Here is a 19,431-nt window from a genome sequence, read left to right on the forward strand (position 1 = left end):
TCTCCAGTTCTCTTTTAGTCCATCAGTGCCATCAGCCCTCTGCATTGGTTCAAAGAGAAGCAGAATTGTTACAAGGGAATGAGAGGGGGAAAAAGGAAGGATTCGTGTTTGTTTTGTTAACTTCCAAGTTGCATTTTGAAGGATCAAACAAAATGTACATGAAAAATTAAGCACAGAGTTGGGGCCATAATTATAGAATAGAAAAATGATTTGAGGGGAAATAAGTGCCCCTTTTCCTGTCATTTAAAAGAATGTCAACCTGGGTCATGGTCAGAGATGGTGCTTATCTTCGGGGAGAATGGGAGACAGAGAAGAGAGTCCTGATATGTGGTGACTCAATATGCAGGATTGGGGTCAGCCTCAGGGAACTGCCAAGTATGTTAAGAAATGAGCACAAAAGAGCCAGTGCTGCAGACCACCCTTAGGATCTGAAGGAGACACAATCCCATGGAGGAAGGCTGATTCTAGAGGAGATTTCAGAGTTTATCCTGTTAAGAGGCAAGGAAACTTTTTTTTTTCATCTTGCTCTGTCTCCCAGGCTGGAGTGCAGTGGCATGATCTCAGCTCACTGCAACCTCTGCCTCCTGGGTTCAAGCAATCCTGCCTCAGCCTCCTGAGTAGCTGGGATGACAGGTGTCCTCCACCACACCAGGCTAATTTTCTTATTTTTAGTAGAGACAAGGTTTCACCATATTGGTCAGGCTGATCTCAAACTTCTGACCTCAGGTAATCCACCCACATCGGCCTCCCAAAGTGCTGGGATTGCAGGCATGAGCCACTGCACTGGGCCGAAACTGACCTTTTTTGTTCCCACATGAGTCAGTTAATGGGTGTGATGGTGGGTGGATATAAACTCTTAAGTATTTCTGGCTCTCTAATTCCAGAGACAAAGTGGCTTTAGTAGCCCAAGAGTAGTTCCCCCACAGGATACTGGGTGCTGGCCCCAAGCAGAAGCACATAGATACCTGAGGAGGTATACACAGAGGAGCGGAAGGGATCTGAGAGAATCTGGGCAAATCCCTAATAGTGTCTATGGCTACACAGTGGCTGTGCCATACACCGCCATGGACTGTGTATACCACACATCTCTAGGATCTCAGTTTAAAGCAATCGTTTTAAAATAAGCAAGTGGTATGAGACATCGTTAGCCTCCAGAGAGCTCAAGACCTTTGTCAGACCCTGAAACACAGCATTTAGTCCTGTGGACTCTTGAGTAGCATTAAGTAGAAAAGAAGGGATGCTGAAAGAGAAAAAAGAAAAGGGCCTTAATTGAATACCTACAATGTGCCAAAACTACACTAAACAATTTATTTTATATCCTTAATATCATTTAATATTTATAACAATTCTACAACGTGAGATCATCATTCCCACTTTGAAGAAGAGAATGACCAAGTCTTAGGGAGGTAAGTACATTGCCCAATATTATATAACCAGGGATGAAACACAAATCTTTGCCATCCTAGGCTCCATGTTCTTTCCATCACACTACTGCTAGCCTCCAAAAGGAGGAGAAAGAAAATGAAAAGGGTATTGAGGGAGATAAAAAGTGAACTAAGCTTCCTTCACAATTTTGCCTATGCCCAGCTTTTTCTGTTATAATACAAATTATTTTTTTCTGCAAAATCATACATTAATTCCCTCAGTTAATTACTGAATGTCTGCTATATCCTAGCTATGTCCTGAATCCAATCACTTCTAGGTCATGGGAATTGAATAATAAATAGAACTGCAAAGTTCTACCTTCACAAAATTTCTATTTTCTAGTAGAGGGAGTATGGGATTTATTATTCACAAATAATGAATAGGTAAATAAGTAAAATAGACATTATGTTAGCTATTGATAAATAAATGGCCAGAGGAGACCTGACTGGTATCAGGTTATTTGTGTAAAATTGAGAAATATTTTCAGAGAGAGGGCAAATTTCCAGAAGCAATAACATGTTTTGTATGGCTGAGAATTGCTAAGCAAAGTGAAGATGTGGGAAGGGAGGATTTGTAACAGTTGAGTTCAAAAAAATAATTGTGACATGGTTGCAGTGGGTGGAGATAAAGAAGTTGAATAAATAGCATCTCTTAAGCCATAGTCAAGTTATTGGTTTTTACTCTCAGAGGGGAAAACATTCCTTTTTTAAAAAGCAAAGGCGTGGCATGAGCTGACTTATGATTTTAAAAGAATGTTTCTTGATGCTTTATTGAGACTCTGATACATGACAGAGATGGAAGCATGAATTAATTCAGTTAGAAAGCTAAAGCAATGCTCCAGGCATGAAACAACAGAAGTTTATACCAGAATGAAATTCACAGAAGTAAAGAGGAATTATAAACTTCTAAATATTTGTTTTGAATATAGAGATAACAGGATTTTCAGAAGTGGAATGTAAGAGAAAGAGAGGAGGCAAGGATGATCCCAAGATCACTGAGCTTCATTAACTTAAAGAATGAGGTTGTCATTTAATGAGATAAACTCTAAGAAAAGAGAATTATTATGCGGAAGGGGAGGCAAAGGGAAAGTAACTTTCTTGCTAATTATTGTGGCATGGCTTTACATTTCTTTAGAAAAAGAAATCCTTGATGAGTACAAAATAAATAGGTGAAACACCTTTGTGTTCTTTTTTCTCCCCTTCCCTCCCTTCTTTCCTTCCTTCCCTCCTCTTTCCTTCCTTCCTCTCCCTCTCTCTCTCCTTCTTTGCTTCTTTTCTCACTTTCTCCCTCCTCCCTCTCTCCCTCCATCTCCATACAACTTTTCTCCGTTTTCAGACATCACTGTGGCCATCAATGTGAAAGAGAGGCTGAGGATAGCATTGGGTATAATGTCACTATTGGGAAAATACCCTGGAAGTCTCCCCTCAAAATCAAAAGCAAGATGAGAAGAGACATTGTTGGGAAGCTTTTATTCTTTTTTTTTTTTTTTTTTTTTTTTTTTTTTTTGTAACTCAGTCCATTTTCTTGCTCTGGCTAAAGAGATACTAAAAGTTTTCAAAGACTACAGTCTTTCTACACCTGTTTTCTTACACACCTCCTGATTTGTCTAAAATATTAAGTTACCCGAATGATACAGCCAATTAGTGGGAGCTATTTCCAGAAAGAAACAAAAGGGTCGCAAATTCCGTTCTTCTGAATCTCTTCTAATTATTAACAATAAACATTAGTGCATTCTATTATTAGTATGAAAATAATAACTAAATGTTATTTTTCCAATATGCATTTTAATTTTTTGATCTTTTGAATCTTTTTTGGAAACTGTTAATTTGCTATGCTATATTACTACACTTACACTGCTCCCTAAATTTAAAAATGTAAAAAGAAAATAAAAATAGCTAAAAATAATGGGTCTCATGGAAACACATAAGAGTAGAATCTTTTGAAATCTTTTTATAAAATGTGAGATGCAAAATATAAATCTTGTTTGGGCTTCTTTGGCTATCCAAGGTCAGAAGCAATGTTGGCACTCTTCCAAGCTGCCCACCCCTAGCCTTTGAGCCCTTTGGGTATCCAGTAGATCAGGACTTATGACTCCTAATGAGTAATGCAGTGGTAGTCAAGCTGTTGCAGATAGGATGGGAATAGCAAAAACCACGCCTCTCTAATTACAGGCATTAGCCCTCTGGCATTGGAATGCCTTCTAACATTTTAGGTTGGGGGTAGCTAGCTGAAAAATCACAGGAAAAATACAAATCTGCAGGAGCTGCCAAAGTTGTCCCAGATTCTAGCTTCCAGACAGTCTCTTCCCTATTCTGATGCTGGTATTGACAGTCTGCCTACCTCCTGTGGATGTCAAAGCCAAGGTTAAGGCCAACGGAAGTGAACAAGCTGTCAGCCTAGCATAAGAAAACAGGTAAGCACATTGTGAAGATGATAGGGAAGACTCCATAATTAGCAGAAATGTTGGGCAGGAGCTATAGGTCACGACATTAGTGGAAATCTATGAGATCACTCCCTCCTTAATGCTCCCACAGGAAAGCAGAAAAATCAGTACTTGATGAAACGTCAGCATTTTATGGACCAACTTCCTCTCACCTATACCTTTCAAATGTCTTTCTTTTTTTAGGCTTTACAACCTTTTTATTTTTAAGATAGGCTCTTTAATGAATGCACTTTATGAACAATGAATCTATTGGCTAGTTAGGAACTAGGCAATATATGATTTAAGTAAATGTAGCTAACTGTGTTAAACTATAATAAACTAATTGGAGAAGAAAATTAACAACTGACTGCCAGTTATATCTCATAAAGGCTGAATGACTGAAATATAGCAATAAATTTGCTAAGTGGGTTTCAATTCTGAAATACAATTAAAATGTGAAAGGATAAAGCCACAATTTAAAATAATGAGCTAAGATTATAAGTGGATTAAATTGTGTATGCAGATACCATAGACTTTACATAACAATAATAGTAACTAATAATTATTAAACTCTTCTTATGTACTAGGCACCTACACTAAACACTTTTATATAAATTATTCATTTTAGTCACAAAGCAGGCATTTCCATTAGGTGAGTATATATAACTGCTTAGAGAAGTAAGTGGTGAATGTAGGCCTCAAAATTAGATTTTTGTCTGACTGGGTAGTCACTACTCTTAATGACAGTTTTCTTAATTTCTTCACAACTGACTCTGAAAAGAGTCAAACTATTGAAGAAACATGAAGTGAAGTGATGGTTTGAGTAAAAACAGTGATAAACTGAGGAGAAGTATTTGGGTAAGTCCCTCTTCAGTTTGTAATTTGTATTCTAATTGAATTATGTTTAAAGCTCCTTTCCACAAATTTCTCACAGTTAGTTAGGAAAGAGGTGATTGAAACAAATTCTAATGCATGAGGAAGAAGATATTTTCCCTATCAATACTACAGACACACACACACACACACACACACACACACGCACACACACACTACAATAGCAAATGGGTACTAGCACATATCTTCTTTACACGATGAAAAAGCAGGCTCATTCTCAAATGAAAATAATAAAGGCTCATTTCTGCTGGATCAGAACTGAAAGCATACTAGTAATGTCAGAGTCACCTAGGTAATAAATATAGATGAACCAACTCTGAAACTATTTTAAATACGTTGTAGACTGCTCATGTGTTAATGGCTGTTGGGAGTCAGGGTTCTCACTGTGGAAGAAAACACACACATATGAAATAGAGAAAAGCAAGAGAAAAAACTTCAGGGATGGATTGGAATTGTAGGGTTCTGTGCAAACTCCTGATTTCTAAAATATGTGTGGCTATGTATATACATGTATATGTGCACATGGAAATGTATGTTTGTGTATGTATACTGTATACACTTATGGGTGGGTGTGTGTGTGGTAGAGATGGGGGTGTGTATTTTTTCCTACCTCTGGCTGCTGCAAGGGCCTAGAGGTAATGTTGCCAGAGTAAAAATAAGCATACACAGTAACCAGATTATATCTTTAATATTACTTTAATTTTTATTATTTAATATTATTTTCATTTTATTATATTTTATAATATTATTAAAAGAATCCTGGCTTCCTCAGAGACATGGCTAATTCCAGGGCTGGGGTAGGAGGGACAGAGGTAGAAGAAGGGCTTGACAGAGTGTAAGGAAATGCTCAAAAAAATTATATAGGCCCATCACAGGAGCACCAGAACCAGCTTGAATGGGCTCCCACTGAAAACATCTGGGTGTCTTTGAGCATCAAAATGATTAAGAATTGTAATAAATTATATGTTTATTTGAAAAAAAGATATATAATAGTGAGAATCAGGAAGAAGGCCTCTTCCCTACACTGAAATGTTGAGCATGAACTAGTGGGATATTAGTTTGCAATCATTGTAGTAAAGACTGATAAAGGTAAGAATCATCACCGGGGTAAAATTTGAGAAGAAGATATGTGGCTATCCAATTAAGTAGGGATATTTTAATACTCTCTTGGGTTTTTCATTTCTTTTTTGTTTGTATGTTTGTTTGTTTGTTTTTTTACACCTCATGGTTCTGTCAGTCTCAAAATCTGTGTGTATTCATTAAGAATGGATTTCTGGAGGGTAGGGATGAAAGTTAAAATCTTGTAGTTGCCCATGTATTTGAATAGCTTTAGCATCCTGTTTAGAAATATGGAACATTTTGTTATTAAATGATAATAATACTGGAAAATGACCATGTAAATTGGATATTCAAGGAAATAATTTTTAAAAATAATTTGTTTTGGATTTTCTATTTTAAAAGAAAGTAAAATTTTCAATTTGTTTATTTTGTATGTAACAAGAAATGAGTTTATGAGTTCAAATATGAGCTTATTTGAACAATGAATGGAGCAAATATTTATTTTTCTTTGTTAATAAATGAAGAAATGATTTTTCCAACACAATTTTATGATACATCAAATGTCTAGGCTTTATATCGCATTTGACTTTCATATCTAAATTACCTCTCAAAAATCACACTTTTATGCATAATAAAGATCAGTGTTTTTTTAAATCAGATATTTTGCTTCTTTGGTGATCAAAATGTCCTCTTTTGAGGTCCCAACTGTGTTCTCATACAATTTTGGCCAAAAATTTATCTTAGTAAACACACATACACACACACATTTCATTTTTTTTTCCCCTAAGAATTAGTGTTTTGTTGTATATGTGTGCCTGTTCTAACTACATTATACCCTTGCTGGGTAATAAATTGGCACTGGATTTCACCAGTTGTCTGGCATTATACTATTGATTCCATGAAATCTTGATGTTGTCAATTTCACATTGTAATCAATTCAGTCTGCACTGCATTGTCCTATTAAAAGCATTCAACATTTTGCAAAACACTGACTGTGTAACCACTAGAGAGAAGGGAAATGTGAATTCAGACTAATTTTATAAACGGTCAATTCACTAACAAATGATGTTGTCTTGTGATTACTTTTCTTTCCAATTTACATTGTAACCATGTAGACATTGAAAATGAATATTGAGAAATAAGAAGCCTCCATATGACTTCTGGTATGCACTAGTATTGCTAGCTATTTGCCTAAGGATTTTGATTCTTTTCCAGGATGCTTTTATCCAGCAATTCTAGCATAGCTGATGTAACACTCTGCTGTGCTAGATCAAATCCGGGATGAAGACCAGTAACCTAGTTAATTTGAATGGACATTTAGTTGAAATGGCCATGGCAAGCTAGGGAAGTTCCAGCCACAGGAAAGAGAATAGAATAAAGGGCCCCTATAAATTAAGGACAGATTTATACCAAATTGCCAGCTTAAATATCAATACATTCCATCTTCAAAAGAAAACAGTCATTTCTAGTTTCCAGCCCAGCATGTAAGAAACTTGGAAAATGCCACTCTATCCTAACAAGCAAATAGCTGAACCAACTGAAAAAAGTCAACAACTGTTTTTAGATCCACTAGAGAAGTAAGGTCACAGAGAAAACTGCTACCCCCACAATTGAAGAGAAAGAAAAGCAAATACAGAGAATCACAACATATCAAAAAAGAAATCCATGAGCAGAAACACTGTGGGAACCAGTGCACAGGTCAGAAACCCTAAACTGTAATTGATGAATTGCTGGAGGTTCAGTGTGAACAAATCAGCAAGTTAAAAACTCCAAGGGGGCTCACTCATGGGCAGTGTCCACACTATTGAAACTTTTCTCTCTAGGAGCTCTACCAGGTTGTCATGGTGAATTTTATAGAAAATCCATTCGTGCTTCTGGCAGGGGGAAGAAAAAGGAATCATTTTGACATATGCCAGAGCATTAAAAAGCCCTGTCCTTAAGAGAAATTATTTTACCATAGTCCAACCTGCTGGTTTATATCAGAGCCTAATCTACATGGGGGAAGAAAACTATCCAACTCAGCTGGCTCTAGCCTTCCAAGTGAAAAAAAAAAAAAAAAAAAAAGGAAATACTTAACTCCAGCTCCTTCTAGCTGTCCTCTCCCAGTGGGGTGGGAGGGTAGGGGAAGGAATACTGAGAAACATAACCAAGGGCACAAAGTCACCAAAAGACTGAATCCTAATTACAGGACTAAAGAAGTTTTCCCATCTCCCAACATCTTACCATTATAATATTAAAGTTTATTTACTGCAGTTCTTTTTACCCAACATATAATATCCACCCTCCAAGAAAAAAATCACAAGGCACACTAAAAGGCAAAAATCATCATTTGAAAAGACTAAAATAGTACCTGGACCAGAGGCAGATATGGCAGGAATGTTGGAATTGTCAGACAAGAATATTTTTTAAATGACGATCGATACTGCCCTGGACTTTAATGAAAAATGCAAGAACAGATGGATAATACAAGCAGAGAGATGGGAGTCTAACAAAGAACTAAGTGAAATACTAGAATCAAAACATTGTAATAGAAATGAAGGAGGCCATTTGTGAACTTATTAGTAGACTGGACATCACTGAGGAAAGAATCTCTGAAGTTGAGGATATCTCAGTAGAAACCTACAAAGCTAAAAAGCAAAGAGAGAAAAAAAAAACTATTCAAGAACTGTAGGACAACTACAAAAGGTATAACATATGCATATGGCAATACCAGAAGTACAAGAAAGAGAAAGAAACAAAAGCAATATCTGAAGCAATAATGACTGAGATTTTCCCCTAAATAATCAAACTACATCAAACTACAAATCCAGGAGAACCAAAGAAAACCAAACAGATAAATGCCAAAAGTACTACATCTAGGCATAACATATTCAAATTTCAAAACATCAAAAGATTAAAAAAAATCTAGACAAAAATATAGAAGAAGAAAAGAAAACCTTAACTAGCAAGGAGCAGAGATAAAAATAACATCTGATTTCTCCTTATAAACCATGCAAGGAAGAAAATAGTGCAGTAAAATATTTAGTGTTCAGAGAAAAAAACAGATGAAACAAACACCAACTTAGAATTCTTTACCCTGTGAAATTACACTTGAAAAGTGAAAGAAAATAAATATTTTTTCTCAGACAAACAAAAATTGAAGGAAATTTGTTGTCATTAGATTTACACTCCAATACATGTGAAAAGAAGCTGTGCAATACATGTGAAAAGAGAGTTGGAAATAATATATGTTAGAATCTTGAATCTATGTAAGGAAAGGAAGAGCATTGGAGAAAGAATAAGTGAAGGTAAAACAAAGTTTAAAGTTTCTTATTCCTCGGTTTGTTCAAAATAATTACAGCAACAATGTATTTGATTGTGTATGCTTATTTTATGTATATATGTACTTATATGTATATATGTGTGCTTGTTACGTATGCATTATATTATATATATATATATATATATATATATATATATATGCTTATATAAAAGTAAATGAATGACATCAAAAATACAAGGGATGGGAGGGAGGAATATAGGGCAATCTCCCCTATCCATAAGGCATACATTCCAAAATCCCCAGTGGATGCCTAAATCCACATGGCTAGCACCAAATCCTATAGATAGTATGCTTTTTTTTCCTATACATGCATGCCTATGATAAAGTTTTATTTAGAAATTAGGCACAATAAGAGGTTAATGATAATAACTAATAATAGAACAATTATAGCAATGTTCCAGCATCTTGACTCTTGTACGTTGGGGTCATTATTAGGTAAAGTAAGAGTTACTTGAACATAAGCACTATGATGCTGCAACAGTCCATATAATCACCTAGATGGTTACTAAGTGACAAAGGGGTCAGTAGCATATACAGCATGGATACGCTGGACAAAGAGGTGATTCATGTCCCGGGGGATGGAGCGGGACAGCACAAGATTTCATCACGATTCATAGTGGCCTGCAATTTAAAACATAAATTCTTTATTTCTGGAAATTTCTACTTAATATTTTCAAACTGTGATTTACCACAGATATCTAAAACCGCAGAAAGTGAAACTGCAAATAAAAGGGACTACTATATTTAAAATATATTGTTATTATAAGGTACTTGCAGTAGCCACAAAATAGTATAGTGTTATTTGAAAGACGACTAGGAATAATAGTAAATGTATATTGCAAACTTGAGGGCAACCACTGGAAAAAGTAAAAGAAAAAAAGTGTAACTGATGTACTAAGAAAGAAGAAAAAAATTAATTTCTTATAAACGCTCAATTAAAGTCACAAAGGCAGAAAAAGTATGAAATAAGAAAAATGGAACAAAGAATAGGGAAAGAAACATAAAACTAATAAATATGGTAGACAATAATACAGCTATTTCCCTAATCACATTAAGTAATAAAGCATTGAAACTATTCTGAATATGGTGGATTCATGTCATTATAAATTTGTCAAAACTCAAAGAATATTCAACTCCAAGAGTGGACCCCAATATAAACTATGAACATTGGGTGATCATGATATGTCAATGTAGGTTCATCAATTTTAATAAATGTACCTATATTGTACTGGAGGTTGTACATGTGTAGTAACAGGGTGTATACAGAAACTCCCTGTACCTTCTGCTCCATTGTTCTGTAAACTTAAAACTGCTCTAAAATAAAGCTTGTTTATCTGAAAAAGAAAATGCCATGGGCAGGTTAATGTATTCTATTAAGTTTTATTTATAGATTATTTTAATCAAAGAATATTTGGTAAATATTTCCCATTCACCAAATATTGTGATCAACAAATTAAGGGTCATAAAGAGAGAGTGTAAAAATGAAAAAGAGAGTACGAAAGAAGAAACATTGTTTACCTGCATTGTCCAATCTACATTTATAAAACACTTATGAAACTTTGATTTCACTGAGCAAATATTTGATATCCAGTGACAAAAACTTTGTTCTTAACATACGGTTACAATAAATGCGTTCAAGTGAAAAAACAATTTGGATTGTTTTAACATGTCTCAAATAAGTCATCCATTCACTGAAATTGATGTTTCATTTAATACTGTTTAACAGTTAAGAAGAGAGCCAACTGGTTAACATGCAGCAGACAAAATTGTTCCCTTGGAGAGGAAAACATTGACTTACACCACTCCAGTGTGAATTGAGGACAAACTGTAAATTGCACAAAGTCAGGATGAGCTGAATATGCACGTGATTATAAAAACAAACTTCAATTTGTAGACATCTGTCTTGCAAATACGACATAAGGAGCCATTTACTCAAAACTTCACACAGCCTAATGCACTGCATTCTTTTAGCAGCTAGAAAATAATGGCCCAACAATCAACTCCCACAAGTCACATGAAGAGTTTAGTGGTTTCAAAGCAAGTAAATACAATTATGTCTTACAAAGAGCCACCACAGCCACTAGGAAATGTTTTGATTCAGAGTTTTGAGGCCTATTTATCAGAAAAGAAAAACTGTATTTTGTTTATTTATTTATTTATTTATTTATTTATTTTTTTTTTGAGACGGAGTCTCACTCTGTCACCCAGGTTGGAGTGCAGTGGTGCGATCTCGGCTCACTGCAACCTTCCACCTCCTGGGTTCAGGCGATTCTCCTGCCTCAGCCTCCTGAGTAGCTGTGATTACAGGTGCACGCCACCATACCTGGCTAATTTTTGTATTTTTAGTAGAGATGGGGTTTCACCATGTTGGTCAGGCTGGTGTCAAGCTCCTGACCTCATCATCCACCCACCTCAGCCTCCCAAAGTGCTGGGATTACAAACGTGAGCTGCTGTGCCCAGCCAAAACTGTATCATTTTATCTGCAATTACAATCTTCAGATATTTGTAGAATCTACAAATTAAAAATTATTCTTATATTGCCAGTGCTTCTTTTCCATTTTCAGTGGAATGTTTCTTGGTGTTCATTATAGCATTTCTATTTGGGTTGCATATCAGATCTGTACTCAATTATTTTTTGTAAGTGTCTAGATAGTTTCATGAGATTGTCAGTTGGATTCCTTATGTAAGACATACTTAATATCATTAATTATTCATTTGTGAACTGTCCTGTGCTCAGCATTATTATAGGGCTAGATGACATCAAAGAGAATACATTTTTTTCCACCTTGGAGTCCATTTTGTGATGTTGTTGCAGAATACCTGAGACTGGAAATATAATGAACAAAAATTTATTGGCTCAAGGTGTTGAAGGCTGGACAGTCCAAAATCTGGGGATCAGAGTCTGTTGAGTGCCTTCCTGCTGTATTATCCCTTGGCAGAAGGCAAAAGGCCAAGAGAGAGCAAGAGAGGGCTGAACTTGTCCTTTATTTAACAGCACCCATCTCATCCATGAGGGGATTACCCTCATGACCTAATTACTTCCTAAGAGTTCCATTTCTTAATACTGTTATAATGGCCATTAAATTTCAACATGAGTTTTGGAAGGGACAAATATTCAAACTATAGCAGAGGATCACAATCTAGTGTGGAGATAGATAAAATAAAATCAGTTTATTAATTATGAACAAAGGAGAATGTTCCTTTCAGAAATACTGTAGAAAAAAGTAATCAAATCACATCTGTAAAAAAATTTACTTGTAAACAGACAGTATTGAGATTCTCTGAACTTGATTTATCTCATTATTGACCAGACCTTGGTCATCCTTGCAGCTCCAGCTACATTTTTTTTTCTGAGATTAGTATCAGTTTTCAAACTTCCTTCACATAAATTGGGAGGCGAAAACAGGCGGAATTAGGCAGTTATTAGTATAGTATGTCAAATGTTCTTCCTCTTCCTTCTTTTGTCTTTCTCACTTTTGACAATGAAGAAATTGTGATGAATTAAGAACTATGAAGCCAATTGCTACAATAAGACTATCACCAGCAGCCTTCCTGGCAAATGTCTCTGGCTCAGAGTGAGAGCAATGTTCTAAAATATCTGTCCCCACCCACTGCTGGGCACAGAGTTTGGTGTCTGCTGCCTAGGGTTTCTGTTTGAGCTGAAGATTTTACTGGTTTTCCACTGAACTGAAAAAGAGTCTAAAAGTAATAATGGATAACATGTACTGAGCACTTAGACATTGACCTTAGGAACAAATGAGCCCCCAAGCATCCTCATCTCAGATTTGAGAAATAGCTTAAGACTAGTCAACTCCTATTTAAAAAGTAGCTCAGATAACCTAACCTCTACCCATTTTATTGGATCCATAACTGACTCATAAGTCTATTATCTAATTATATATTGCTTAGACATATTAAAATAAATTCGATTTTTCATGGCGAAATTCACCATGTCTCATTTGAAAAGAGAAACATCATGTGAGTGAAAAGCACTCTAAGACTTATGAATTCCAATGTTAGCCCTTCTTTTATGAACTCAAGAGAACTGTCAGGTCACAACCTTATCTGTAATATTAATAATATGAGATAGCTGGCCAGCTTTCAGGACGTTTATGATAATACATATAAAAAGGCTTTTTTTTTTTTTTTTTGAGATGGTGTCTTGCTCTGTCGCCTAGGCTGGAGTGCAATGGTGCAATCTCGGCTCACTGAAAGCTCCGCCTCCTGGGTTCACGCCATTCTCCCGCCTCAGCCTCCCGAGTAGCTGGGACTACAGGCACCTGCCACCATGCCCGGCTAATTTTTTGTATTTTTAGTAGAGACGGGGTTCCACCGTGTTAGCCAGGATGGTCTTGATCTGACCTCGTGATCCGCCCACCTCGGCCTCCCAAAGTGCTGGGATTACAGGCGTGAGCCACCGCGCCTGGCCGTAAAAAGGCTTTTTGAAGATTTTATACACACACAAGAATACCATATAAATTTAAATATATATAAATGAAAATAGAAATTGCTTTTTATTCAGATGTCTTTATTTAGAGTAGAAATTGTATTTTACTAAATACTGTGATGCCATTTCTTTGTGAGGCTTTATTTGCAAAGCCATGTCTAGTTTCTTAACTGGGAGTAATTTGTTTCTAAACACCTGTATTACTTAAGTGTATTTTAAGTTATACTATACTAATATATGCACTGGTTAATACATGCTTAGGATCAAGGATGTCTTACCCAACTTTGAATCCCTCTTAGAACATTATGCCTTATCCTAAATTGAAACTCAGTAAATATGTTGACATATTTATTGTTTGAATTCAACTTTTCCATAGAGCCAAGGTTAACATATGTGCTAACATGACATCTTTAAATGAAAAGTTAATATATCTGACACCTAGAATGTGTAAAAAATGTATTTAGAACTTTTAAAATATTATTATTGTAATTACAATTACAACAGTTATAATAATCATCTTTTTTTAGATGGTTCTTACTCAGGTCCATCCATAGTCTCTCAACCTTGGTACATACAATGGTCCAGTCTGTGCTCCTAAAATAAAGTCTAATTATCCTAAATGAGAATTCAATTAATAACAACTTTCCTATTAGCTAAATAGTATATTTTACTAACTATTTATCTATTTGCAACTAAATTTACATTAATATCATATAATTAATAACATGTAAATTATTAATTAATTTTATATAATATCATGTAATTACCAATATATAATTAACATATAAATATTAAATGACTAGTATATTAGTTATTACATAAAGGTGTTATTATAACTTATTATTTAACTTAGATTAACTGAAGGAAAGATTCTTTTTGATAACGAGTAGAATGCAAATTGTTTATTATTCGATAAAAATTGTAGACACAAAAATTATTAACATTTTCTCTAAAACATCTAGAGGGTACATTATTTAAGATAGCCCAAGTTTCTGAATTGTTCTGGATTTCCCATGAAGCAATCTCAAGGTATTAAAACTGACCTTGTATATGTTCTCATGATAGAGGTAGAGATTCTTTTTCATTGCTAAAATGATTATACAGAAAGGAAAAAACATTCCTGAGGTGTTAAGTGGAGTGTCCAAAGGTCAGAGTAAGTCAGTGGACCCCTGACAACTGAGTCATTTTCTGGATAATCTGCATGATATGGTTGACCAGTCCTGCCCTCACACCTGGGAAAGAGGAATCTTTACTCTGGAACCGAAGACTGAGAAGATCCCACATATTACAAATAGCAATACACAAAGATGTTTTGTTGTATTTGGGGTACATAAGAAAAGTTTTGGGCTGGGTGCAGTGGCTCAGGCCTATAATCCTAACACTTTGGGAGGCCAAAACGAGAGTACTGTTTGAGGCCAGGAGTTTGAGACCAGCCTGGGTAACACAGTGAGACACCATGTCTACAAAAGTAAAACTGTGGTGATGCACACCTGTCGTTCCAGCTACTCAGGAAGCTGAAGCAGGAGGATCTCTTGGGCCTGGGAGGTGGAGGCTGCACTGAGCCAGGATCATGCCACTGCACTTCAGCTTGGGTGACTAGAGCGAGACCCTGTCTCAACAACAACAACAACAACAAGAAAAACAACAACAACAACAAAGAAATAGAAAAGTTTTTGGAGGTTTGGTAATAACTTGGGTTATGAAAATTACAGGAAAAGGACAATTGATCTGAACGGAGCCACTCATACCAGAGGGGAAGTGTGTGGAGGCTGTGTGTGTGTGTGTGTGTGTGTGTGTGTTTATGTGTGTGTGTGTATGTGTTTGTTGGAGGGTGGTGAGATGAGAAAATTACAATCTTTGTCTGGGAAAACCAGAGAGTGTTCAAGCTTCACGGTCCCAAATATCTGAAAGTGGGTGGCGTAGCTAGACCTGCCTGGAAATTCTGACTCAGAAAAGTGATGTATTGGGGGAGGAAAGTTGCTCTCTCTGGCTCGTTGGGAAGCCTGACTTGTCATAGGTCCAGGCAGGATCTGTCACCACCCAGGCTCTGCCCTGCCTTGTTACCTCAGGTCCTTATTTCCAGTTAGGCTGCTAGACAGCTAGACAGCTAGGCTGGCTGGGAAAATCGTGCCCCCTTCAGCCTCTAGATCCCATATTCTATATCTAAGGAACAGTTTTGGGTGAGAGTGGGGAATCTGCGGGGAACTAGTCTAGGCTATGAAAATAGTTTGATTTATAATCTTTAGATATTTAGAAACATGTTTATGGGTCTCTTGCCCTGGAATCTGCAAATGTTGGAAGAAGGCTTGTAGCCTTCCTCACTGCTTCACTGATCCCCATCATCTCCATCTGGAAAGAAATCTGTTTCAATAGTCTCGCCCATCTCAAGAGAACACGTTAGTATTGCTAAATATTGGAGAAAAAATTACCAATCCCCCAAGAAACTTCCAAAAAATATGATTGCTGAGTAAAACGACCACCACTAAACCAAACTTAATCTAACAAATATATTTTCCTTATGAAGTTGCATGGGTATTGGCAGATTCCTAGAAATTGATTTACTCTTTCCTGTTTTTAGATGAGAAATTTGAAGTCAAGAGGACTGAGTGAATTTTCCCTGCTGAGCTTTTTATTCAATATCCATATGATGTGCCAAGAAGGAAGGGCTAACAGGATCATTAGAAATGATTTAAGAGGATATAAAGTCACATAAGGATCCTAGTTTAGTTACAACGGTCATTTAAAATGGTGCTGGCATTTGAAGGAGAAATGAATAAAGGAGAGAAAGGGAGCCATATGAATATAGAAAAGAAGAATATTAAATGCAGAAAGAACTGGAAAACAGATCCCTGAGGTAGAAGGGAATATGTTTGTTATGTTAAGACAGTGAACGAGGGGAAAGAGCAGTGAAAAAGGTGATCCTAGAGGTAGCCAGGACCCAATCATATAGGGCTCTATGAACATAATCAGGGCTTTAAATTTTATGCAGAGTGAAATGGGCAGAACTGAAAGGCTGATACCAGGGTAATGACATACTCTGATTTACGAGGGTGGAGGATCCCCATGGCTGCTGTGTGGCAGAGACTGAAGAAGACAAGAGTGTAATGGGGAGACAGTTAGAACACAGCACATTAAAGGCAACTAGTGACCCAAAGTTCCTTCTGCACACTTTACTTCCTCCTGTGAGAGTTGACAAGTTCTTTGAAAACCACAAACTTTTTATTATCTTTAAATTTGTTATAGCTCTTTGATACTTCCTTTAAATTTACGATTTTATAGGGCAGGGTAAGCTATTCTTTCTTTCACTTCTTTCATTCCCTTTATTCCCAGTGGGGATACAAATTTTTTAAGATGATATAAAAAAGCAGTGCTTTATTTTATTTATTTATTTCTGTGTCACCCAATCTAGAGTGCAGTGGTGTGATCTCAGCTCACTGCAGCCTCAATTTCCCAGGCTCAAGCAATTCTCCCACCTCAGCCTCCTTACAGTAGCTGCGACTACAAATGCACACCACCACATCCGGCTAGTTTTCATTTTCTGTTTTTTGTAGAGATGGGATCTCACCAAATTGCCCAGGCTGGTCAACAATTCCTGGGCTCAATAGATCCTCCTGCCTTGGCTCCCAAAGTGCTGGGATTACAAGCATGAGCAAAGTGCCCTGCCAAAACATTGTTTTCTGTTGTAATAGTTATTATTAATATAAAATGCAGCAAAATTAACATATTAAAGTAAGTAATATCAATAATAATTTATCTTCTAGAATAGCCTTTGATAGTACACCTTTCTCAGCTAAACAAATTAAGCCTGAAATATATGCAAATTTATGTATGTATATTTAGTTTATTTTATATACTACTATGTGTGTGTATAAATTACGCACTATAGAGCATTATAAAAATATATATTTTAAATAATTTTAAAAGGCAGAATATAAACAGAATTGTGACTATTATATTACTGCACTCTGATAGATCATTCCACGCACCCCTGGAGCATGTGCAGTCCACTTTGGACACATCACCAAAATTGTGCAGGCTTAATTCTGATTACATAAACATTAATAGTCAGCTTGTCCATTGCAACTGGAGCGACCTATTTCTATCATTCCAGAAAAGGGTCATGCTGCCTGTGAATTTGGAGATTTTGAGGCCCATCTCCAGGACAGAGTTCAGAAGAAGACGAAAATCATGGAAAAGACTGAGTAGGTGAGACTGTATGAGAGAAGGAAGGGAGACAGAAAATACTCTGAGGTCCACCCAAGAGAGCTCTGTGCAAACTGAGAAATGATTTAAAGAGAAAAGTACAGAAATGCTCTGCTCCACCTCCCAGGTTCTGTATGTTTCTGACTAGTTTATTATGACATTATTTTCCCTCTGTATTATACTATAACTGTATACCTTTCTAGATAATATGGACATAACTCAGATTTTTTTCTTCTAGCTAACAACGTCTCCATATACTTCTAATAGCCATGTCTACATCTGTATTCATCTCCATGTTTATATCTCTAAATGGAGATATATGTGAATATTATCTGTCTATCTACCTATATATCTCTATCATTTATATACCTCTCCATATATTTGTGGAATTTTTGTTGGAATACTTCACCTAACGTATAGATGTATCAATATTTATGCAACGTGTTCTACATATGGTGTCTTGAGAGAAGGGAGGAAGGACATTCACCTGCTGAATACAAAGCATTAACTTGTATTGTCATCTCCACCTTCATTTCTCCACTACTGACTTGAAAATGAACAGAGGCATGGAATGGATGTTTAATTTGAAAAGTGACCCAATGGACTTGAGAAAAATAGAGTATTTCACAATGCCTTCAATAGGTGAAATAATTGAAATTTCCCATTATTGCATGCACAAACTAAATATAATTTTGAATAACCTTAAGATTCTGGGTGAATCGGTTGGAAAGTGCACAATTCACTAGAGCAAGTCACCATAGTATCTTGTATTTATTCTGATTCTCAAAGTAAGTAGATTCTTTTCCCCTTAATATTAGTTGTCCTCTTCCTTTATGTAGGCTTTTCTCTCCTACACTGTTGATTTTCTTCAACTATCTGATGATTCTCCATTATCAGTTCATGTTTAAGAACAAAAAAAAGACCAGGTCACCTGCTATGGTTAGCTGGTGTGGGAATCTTCTGCGATTGACTTTTTTTTTTTTCCTAACAAATCTTTCCTTTGAAGGGTAGTACTGGCTATTGCTCTATACATATGAGCAGAGTGTTTTCACAGGCCAACTTTGTCTTAGGTCACATAACCTAAAGAGCAGCCCTTCCCCTGACCTCTTGTACCACAACAACCAGAGCTTTATTTTACCATGCCAAGGCTCACAGTTGGAACTTCAGCCTTTCCTAACACATTACTAAAATTTTCACAAACAGCTCTTTCTCTTTAACTTGGAGCAAATAAACTCTGTATCATGACAGCCATTTGCTTTTAATTATAAGGGTGGGTTTGCAGGAGAAATCAATGGGGCTGACTAGATGCTCCCACTAATTATAAGTCCCTAAATAAAATACCACAAATATTCCCCAATAATCCTACTGTTGGTTCAAGATGGCAGAGTACCCTCATTTGTGAATAGAGTGCACCTATTTTGAAATTCAAGGTCTTTTGGGGTGCTCAGCTTTATGGTCTGCCAAACTCTTTTGCTGATAGGTGCTCCCTTATTTCACGTAGTTATATTTTAATGAAATAAAAAAAAACAAAATAAGCAAACAAAATCAGATTATCTGTGGAGATTTTTATTGCCTGAAAAATAGTGTACATTGCTTCCAAAAACCTGAGTAATAAATTGTTATGTCCATAAGGAGATTTTACCATCCAAGCTGCTCAGA

At 36.2% G+C, this 19,431-nt stretch overlaps 1 annotated feature.

Moving 5' to 3' along the window:
* Nucleotides 283-1,482: an enhancer, noted in NCBI's record as "P300/CBP strongly-dependent group 1 enhancer chr5:45722136-45723335 (GRCh37/hg19 assembly coordinates)". NCBI's record gives its function as "activates an origin of replication core promoter dependent on BRD2, BRD4, P300/CBP, MED14 and CDK7 cofactors, with strong dependence on P300/CBP, by STARR-seq in HCT116 cells {active_cell/tissue: HCT116}" and the evidence as "EXISTENCE:reporter gene assay evidence [ECO:0000049][PMID:35650434]".

The sequence above is a fragment of the Homo sapiens genome, chromosome 5, assembly GCF_000001405.40.
Source record: "Homo sapiens chromosome 5, GRCh38.p14 Primary Assembly".
NCBI classification, from domain to species: Eukaryota; Metazoa; Chordata; class Mammalia; order Primates; family Hominidae; genus Homo; species Homo sapiens.